At 38.9% G+C, this 6,966-nt stretch overlaps 1 annotated feature.

The window, feature by feature from the left end:
- Positions 6,194-6,966: an enhancer, noted in NCBI's record as "OCT4-NANOG hESC enhancer chr8:68766696-68767468 (GRCh37/hg19 assembly coordinates)". NCBI's record gives its function as "activates a minimal SCP1, AML or CMV promoter by ChIP-STARR-seq in primed H9 embryonic stem cells {active_cell/tissue: H9 hESC(primed)}" and the evidence as "EXISTENCE:reporter gene assay evidence [ECO:0000049][PMID:30033119]".

Genomic DNA, 6,966 nt, shown 5'->3' with positions numbered 1-6,966 from the left:
ATCAAATTAAAGAAATACATCTTTGTCATTGGCTTGGTGCTAGGCACTTAAAGGTGCTCAAAAAATACTTGTGAATAAATCTCCAACTAGTATATTTGCTCCTTGAAGACAAGTATTATAGTTTACCCATCTTTCTGGCTCTAGCACCCTGCAAGCAGATAGTGGCTGCCAGTAAATATATTTGTTTGACAAACATTTATTATTCATATTATATACTCATACAGCTCCTAACATCTCAAGAGTCAAAATACTGACTATTTGAGTAAATTAGTTTGTTCATTAATAGAAAAGGATTGGAATAAGGAAAGGAAATCTTCCAGGTTAGTGGGTAGGGATGAACAAGAGATCCTCATTCTAAAGACATTGCTCTACATTTGCTATTTAGCTCTTAAGAATTTTTGACACGAGGTAGGAGAGGAGTGAGGAGGCCCCTTTGCTAGCCACCATCCTCTGGTTTGTATTTAAATTGGGCTCCTTCTAAAGCTGTAATACCAGAGGGGTCAAGGTGTGTGCCAAAGACCTGGAGACACCAAAGCCCAGGCTATATAGTATTAATATACAAGGTTCCATTCACCAGTAGCATTTTCAGCACTCTGGACAGCATCATTTTTCTTTCATGTTTTTGAGATAGAATTTGTACTTCAGAACTATGACCTGATTATGCAGAGGAGGACTTAGGAGACAGCACACAAATTAATTCACAAGGACCAAGGAAAAGTGCTATACAAAGCAGTTGGTTGTGTCCTCTCTCTCATGACTTTGAATTATCCATTTAAGAGTCACAGTAAACCAACCTCAAAAGGATGCCCAAACAAAACAAAACAAAAACAGGACTCTAGGGGCCCATAGACCTGAACCAAGGGAGGTCTGATAGCACTGAGGTTGAGAGCACAAGCTCACAACATAAGCTCTGCCATTCACCAGTTCAGTGATTTTCAACAAGCTCCTTAACCTCCCTCACTATTCATTTTCAAATCTGTTAAGTGGCTTTGTGTGGCTAAAAATAAGAAGAATGATATAGAAAGACTTTGGCCAGTAGTAGCTGCTAATGTTATTTATTGGTGTTAATGTCATTGTTATAAAACCAGCTGAAGGAAGTGACAAGCTTATGTTCCCTATGACAAACATAAATAAGAGCCATTGAAATCAATAATTACCTCCCAGAATCCATCGTTAAAAACAACTCAGAAAATAAGATATTAAATACTTCCCCATTAAAATTTTTATTGTGTTTATTTCTATAGAACCACCTCCCTCCCCAACAAACACAGAATAAAAGACAGAGAGGATCAGGGTGTGGGAGAAATGCCTCAGGAAATAGTCTATTCTCTTTAAGTTTCACCCAGGCTGGAGTGGAGGGGTCAGCCTGCACCTTCTAGCAAGCCTCTCCTCTTGTCTCCCAGGTGGATCCTGGCACTCTTTGAAACTTAAACCCACAGTTATTTTGGACACAATGCTTTTGAATGCCATGGGGATGACAAATACTTTGAACCCATGGAGGGAATGCCACAGCAGTTTGCACACCGTCATCCTCCACTCCCGGGATCCTCTTGGCCGGGCATGCCACGCACACACAGTTGATGGACTTCCCACACAGCTCTTTTCCACAGCTGTCTCCATCCAGCATTGGCCCTTCTAGACTTTGTGGAACAGTCTCAGAGCAGAGATGCATTCCACTGACTTGTGTTGATGATCTGCACAGCCCCACTTTTGAAGTGCCAGGCCATCTTCACCTTGATAAAGATATTCTTGCTATCTTGAGGAGCTGGTCATGGCCAATATGGGTCTCCTCCTGAGCCGAGATGGCCAAGAGGCCCTGCAGCATGGTGAACTTACTGCTAACAATACTAACAACTAACAAAAGAAGAAAATGAAAACAAAGAACAAAGAAAAAAGTGAGAAAACAAAAGAAAAGAAAAATGTGAAAAAGAAAAAATGAGAAAAAAAGAATAAAGAAAGAAAATGAGTAGGCGTTTGTATTCAATGACATGAACAGGGTGGTCTAATTTCAGGGAATGGTGCTAGTACTTCAGGGAGGGAACAGAGAAGCCTTTCAGTTATTCTTCCTCTAACACTCATTCTTTATGTAAATCCAAATTTCTGGCCTGTATCACATTCCTCCCTCTCTGAAGAACTTTTTTTAACCTTTTTTATTTGTGAGACAGATTGATGGGTGACAAATTTCCCTAATATTTCTTTGTCTAGGAAAGTTTTTATATCTCCTTCATTTTGAAGCATAATTTTGCTGGATACAGAATTCTAGGTTGGTGGATTTTTTTTTCTTGCTTGTCTGCATTGTTTCAGAAAAAAGTCTGATTTAATTCTTATCTTTGTCCCTGTATAGGTGAAGCATTTTTTCCTCCCTCTTGTTTCTTTCAAGATTTTCTCTTTTTCTTTGATTTTCTGTACTTCGACTATGACTAGGTGTAGAGGATTTTAGTATTGCCCTGTTTAACGTTCTTTTGGATTCCTGGGCCTGTGATTTTTTGTCTGTCATTAATTCTAGAACATTGTCAGCCATTGTTACTTCAAATAATTCTTCTGTTTCTTTCTCTCTTCTGTTTTTAATATTGTCATTATGAATATGTTATACCTTTTAAAATTGTCCCACATTTCCTGGATATTCTATTCTGTCTCTTTCATTCTTTTTTCTCTTTGCTTTTCAATTTGGGAAGTTCCTGTTGACATATCTTTGAGCTCACTAATTCTTTCCTCAGCCGTGTTTTGTCTAGTCATGAACTCATTAAAGGCATTCTTCATTTCTGTTACACTGTTTCTGATTTCTATCATTTCCTTTTGGTGCTTTCTAAGAGTTTCCATCTCTCTGTTTACATTACTTATCTGCTTTTGCATGTTGTGCACTTTTTCCTTTCAAGTCCTTAGTATATTAATCACAGCTATTTCAAATTCTTAGCATGATAAATCCAAAATTGCAGCTATGTCTGAGTCTGATTCTGATTTCTCTGTCTCGTCTAGCTGTGTTTTTGCCTTTGATATTTTTGTTGAAAACTGTCCACGACATACTGAGGTTTTGTGCTTCTTCGGCTAGGAGTTAAACTGTGTTGATTCTTTGTCATAGCCGTGGATGCTAAAGACCAACATTTTCTTTGGTGTCCTTATTTTTTCCTCCTCTGTTGTCTTTGGGTTCTTTCTTGAGACTTCTTAAATAAGGACTGACGCTTGCAGTTCTTTTAGTTTAATCTGCTATTATACAGAAGCCCTATTGATGTGGTAGAAGAGTGTGAGGGGAGGGAAAGCATGTCGTCCTATGATTAGGTTTCAGTCTTTTATGGAGCCTGTGCCCCTGTGACCTGCACAAGTGCTTTACAATCATGCTCTACTCTTACAACAAGGCTTAGGTGAGACAGGAAGGCTAGAAGGGACTGGAGTTGGATGTTTTCTCTTCCTTTCTCTTTCTGTTAGGTTCTGGTAAAACCCAAGGTGGTTAGGCTCTGCTAAAGTAGTTTTCCTTGAGGGTACATTTTTATTAAATCCAACACTGGATGTATTTCAGAATGGTTACTTTTCTTTATTCCTTGCAGGAAGCAAGAGGGAGTTTTCCTTTGATCTTCACCCTGAGCATTTGATGGGACTCTTGGTGATAAAACTCATGAAAGTATGGGGTCCCCAAAGACTAGGCATACCCACCTCCCTGAATTTCCAACTCTCAAGCATGGGCACACTGAGCTCTAGCAATTTATTGATTACAAGTTAAGCTTTTATACCCTAGTACCAGCTCCAGTAGTGGCTTTTGCTCCTGGGCTTGTATTCCCAGAAAACTATGATTCTCCGTACTCACCCATCTCTCTGATTTTGGGGGCAGTGGTTTGCCTTGTGACCTCAATTCTCTGACAGATCCAAGAAAAGATGTTGGCTTTCAGTTTGTCCATCATTTTTCTTGTCGTAAGGATGGGAATGATGATTTCCAAGCTGGAAACCAGAAGTCTCATATAGATTTCTTCACGGTTTTTTTTCTATGAAAAATAACAATGCTTCACACATTCTTGTATGTCTTTTGCTGTACATATATATGCATTTCAGTTACACCAAGAGTTAAATATCTGGGTCCTAGCATATGCTAATTTTTAGATCTAATGTACAATACCAAGCACAATACACTCCCTTCTACAGCAAATGACAGGTCTCATTGCTCTTTACCTTCACCAACACTTGGTTTGTCAGACTTTTAAGTTTTAGCTATTCTGTTCCATGTATGGTGGTATCTTATTGTGATTTTAATTTGCATCGGCATGATTATTAATGAAGTTGAAAACCATTTGGAGATCTTCTTTTGTAAATTACCTGTTCAGATCTTCTCCTATTTTCTGTAGATATCTTTTTCTTATTGATTTATAGAAGTTCTTTACATATTCTGAATGTGAGCCCTTTATTTTTATAACCAAATTATATATTCTTATGCCCAAAATTGCAAGAAGAAAAGTCAGAGAAAGGGACATGTAAATTTCTTGATGTATCCACATCAAGAGCCACAGATTCACCAGAAACCTATAAGCTCCCATTCACCTAGTTTACGTGAAATAACTACTGGAAAAGGGCTTTAAGTTGCTCATTGATTTATTTTACATATCAGTACACTGTAGAATCAGTTATCAGACTTTGATGATAATTGACATTATTATTTTTAAATATAAGGACAGATTGCCACAATGAGAGTAAATATGCCTTTAGAAAATCTATTTCAGTCTTACAAATTAATAGTATGACAAAGGTTTTCATTTCATTTCATAATAAATGTGTGATTCTGAGGCTGAATTCAATAACCAAAGCATGCCTGAAGTTGTTCAGACACTTCACTATACCTGTTTTAACAGTGAGATAAATCTAATATAGCTGACTCCATCTTGCTTCTAACCTTACAAGCTGTCTTTGCTCATTCCTGCACATAGGCCAAGGGAGGAATTCAGTTTACAGTTTAACTTTAAAACAAGGATGATAATAGTTGCTTCCCAAAACTAACCCCCAGGAGATAAGGAAGTATGCACACAAACAACTATGCTGTCTTAAAGATTTATAGGAACAAAGCGGATCTGACAAACAGTTAACCATAGACAAAGTTCTGCCACCTCCTCAGATCCTTGCTGATGCCCAGATGGGTGTGGTCACCAGTCACCTATGGACCTTAACCCCTCTCTGTTTTTCCTTCCCCTAACTTAAAAGAAGCCTAAAAATCTATCCACTTAAGATGGTTCTTTAGGACATCAGTTTGCCATCTTCTTGGTTTGCTGGCTCCCTGAAATAAAGATGCCCTCCTTTCCTTAACACCTTATCTGTCGACTTATGAGAGCCCTCATGCAGTGAGCAATACGAGCTTTGGACTCAACAACACTGTGAGTCAATCAATGTCTAAGGTTGAACTATCCATCAGACAATGGAACATAAGGGTGGCTTCTAGGTGAATCTGACTGTTGGTTCATTTTCCAGGAGAAAAGGTCAGAAGTGGCTTCCTCCTGGTGAAACTGCCCAATATCACAGGGCACCCACATTCACTGTTGGAGATTATAATACCATCTAAATTGGGAACAGTTAGGGTGTGTGTGTGTGTGTGTGTGTGTGTGTGTGTGTGTGTGTGTTGACTAATTCTGTGGAAAAAATGGTTGTAGGGCCAAGGATGGGGGGATAATTTGGTTGAGGCAGCAGAATATACACATTTTGTCAGAATACAGAAGCAGAGTTGGATGATAGCTCAAAGGATATTCCATCTCCCATTGTATTTATTAACTAATTTATTTTAATATATTTTATTATTTTTTAAAATTTTTGTGGGTACATAGTAGGTTTACATATTTATGGGGTACATGAGATGTTTTGATACAGACATGCAATGTGAAATAAGTACATCATGTGGAATGGGGCACCCATTCCCTGAAACATGTGTACTTTGAGTTATAAACAACCCAATTACATTGTTTAAGTTATTTAACAATATACAATTAAGTTATTATTGACTATTGTCACCCTATTGTGCTATCAAATAGTAGGTCTTATTCATTCTTTCTGTTCTTTTGGTATCCATTAACCATCCTTACCTCCCCCTGAACCCTCCACTACCCTTCCCAGCCTCTGGTAACCATCCTTCTACTGCATCTCCCATTTTAAATAAGGTGATATTACATGAATAGAAACTATTCAGGTGGGGGCCGAGGTTTGACTTTTGGGCGTAGTATCCTTTTGGTTTCAAGATTAACATGGTCTTTATCTGTTGTCCCTGATGCTCACTTGATGCCCTGGGTAATGGAGTCTCCCCACAGGAATCTAAGCCATCACCAGTTTTAAGGGATGAGCAGTAGATGTGGAGAGATATTTGCCATGCTTTCCAGAGATCTCCTGCTGAGGCTCCACTGCTTGAAGCACACCCTCCCTGGTGCCAAGTAACAACAGGATGGAGTGTCCATTCACGGGCCTGTATTTTGGGTGTTTTAATAGGTTACAAAAAAACTGTTTTGTGAGCAGAAATGAATCCGCTGCAAGAAAAACTAGTCAAAGCCGGAAGAAGGGCAGGTCCTTTCATGCTAACCTGGGGCTGAATAATTGGGAAGGATGCAGGCTGAGGCAATAATGAGTCTTTTGTGATGGAAACTGGTAACTACTCAGGACTATAGGGCCTGAGGTTTCATCGTACACCATGGGGTTTATGAAAGCTTGAAATCAACCTAATAATCAAGATGTGGACTGCTAGTTATTTGCTGGTTTTTAAAATCTTTTTAGTCTGGGGAAATGACAGTGTGGGGAGGAGGAAAAGGAAGAAATCCCAAAGGGCAACAAGGCCATTAATTATTTTAAAAAATCCTTATGGCATTATTCTGACTCACAGCTTGCATGAAGTTGGAGTTAAATTGCCTTTTTGTTTGTTTGTTTGTTTGAGACAGGGTCTCACTCTATCACCCAGGCTGGAGTGCAGGGGCACAGTCACAGCTCACTGAAGCCTTGACCTCCTGAGCTCAAGCG

Source organism: Homo sapiens, chromosome 8 (assembly GCF_000001405.40).
Source record: "Homo sapiens chromosome 8, GRCh38.p14 Primary Assembly".
NCBI lineage: Eukaryota > Metazoa > Chordata > Mammalia > Primates > Hominidae > Homo > Homo sapiens.
The sequence above is the reverse complement of the archived record's forward strand: the minus strand, read 5'-3'. Positions and strand labels throughout refer to the sequence as shown.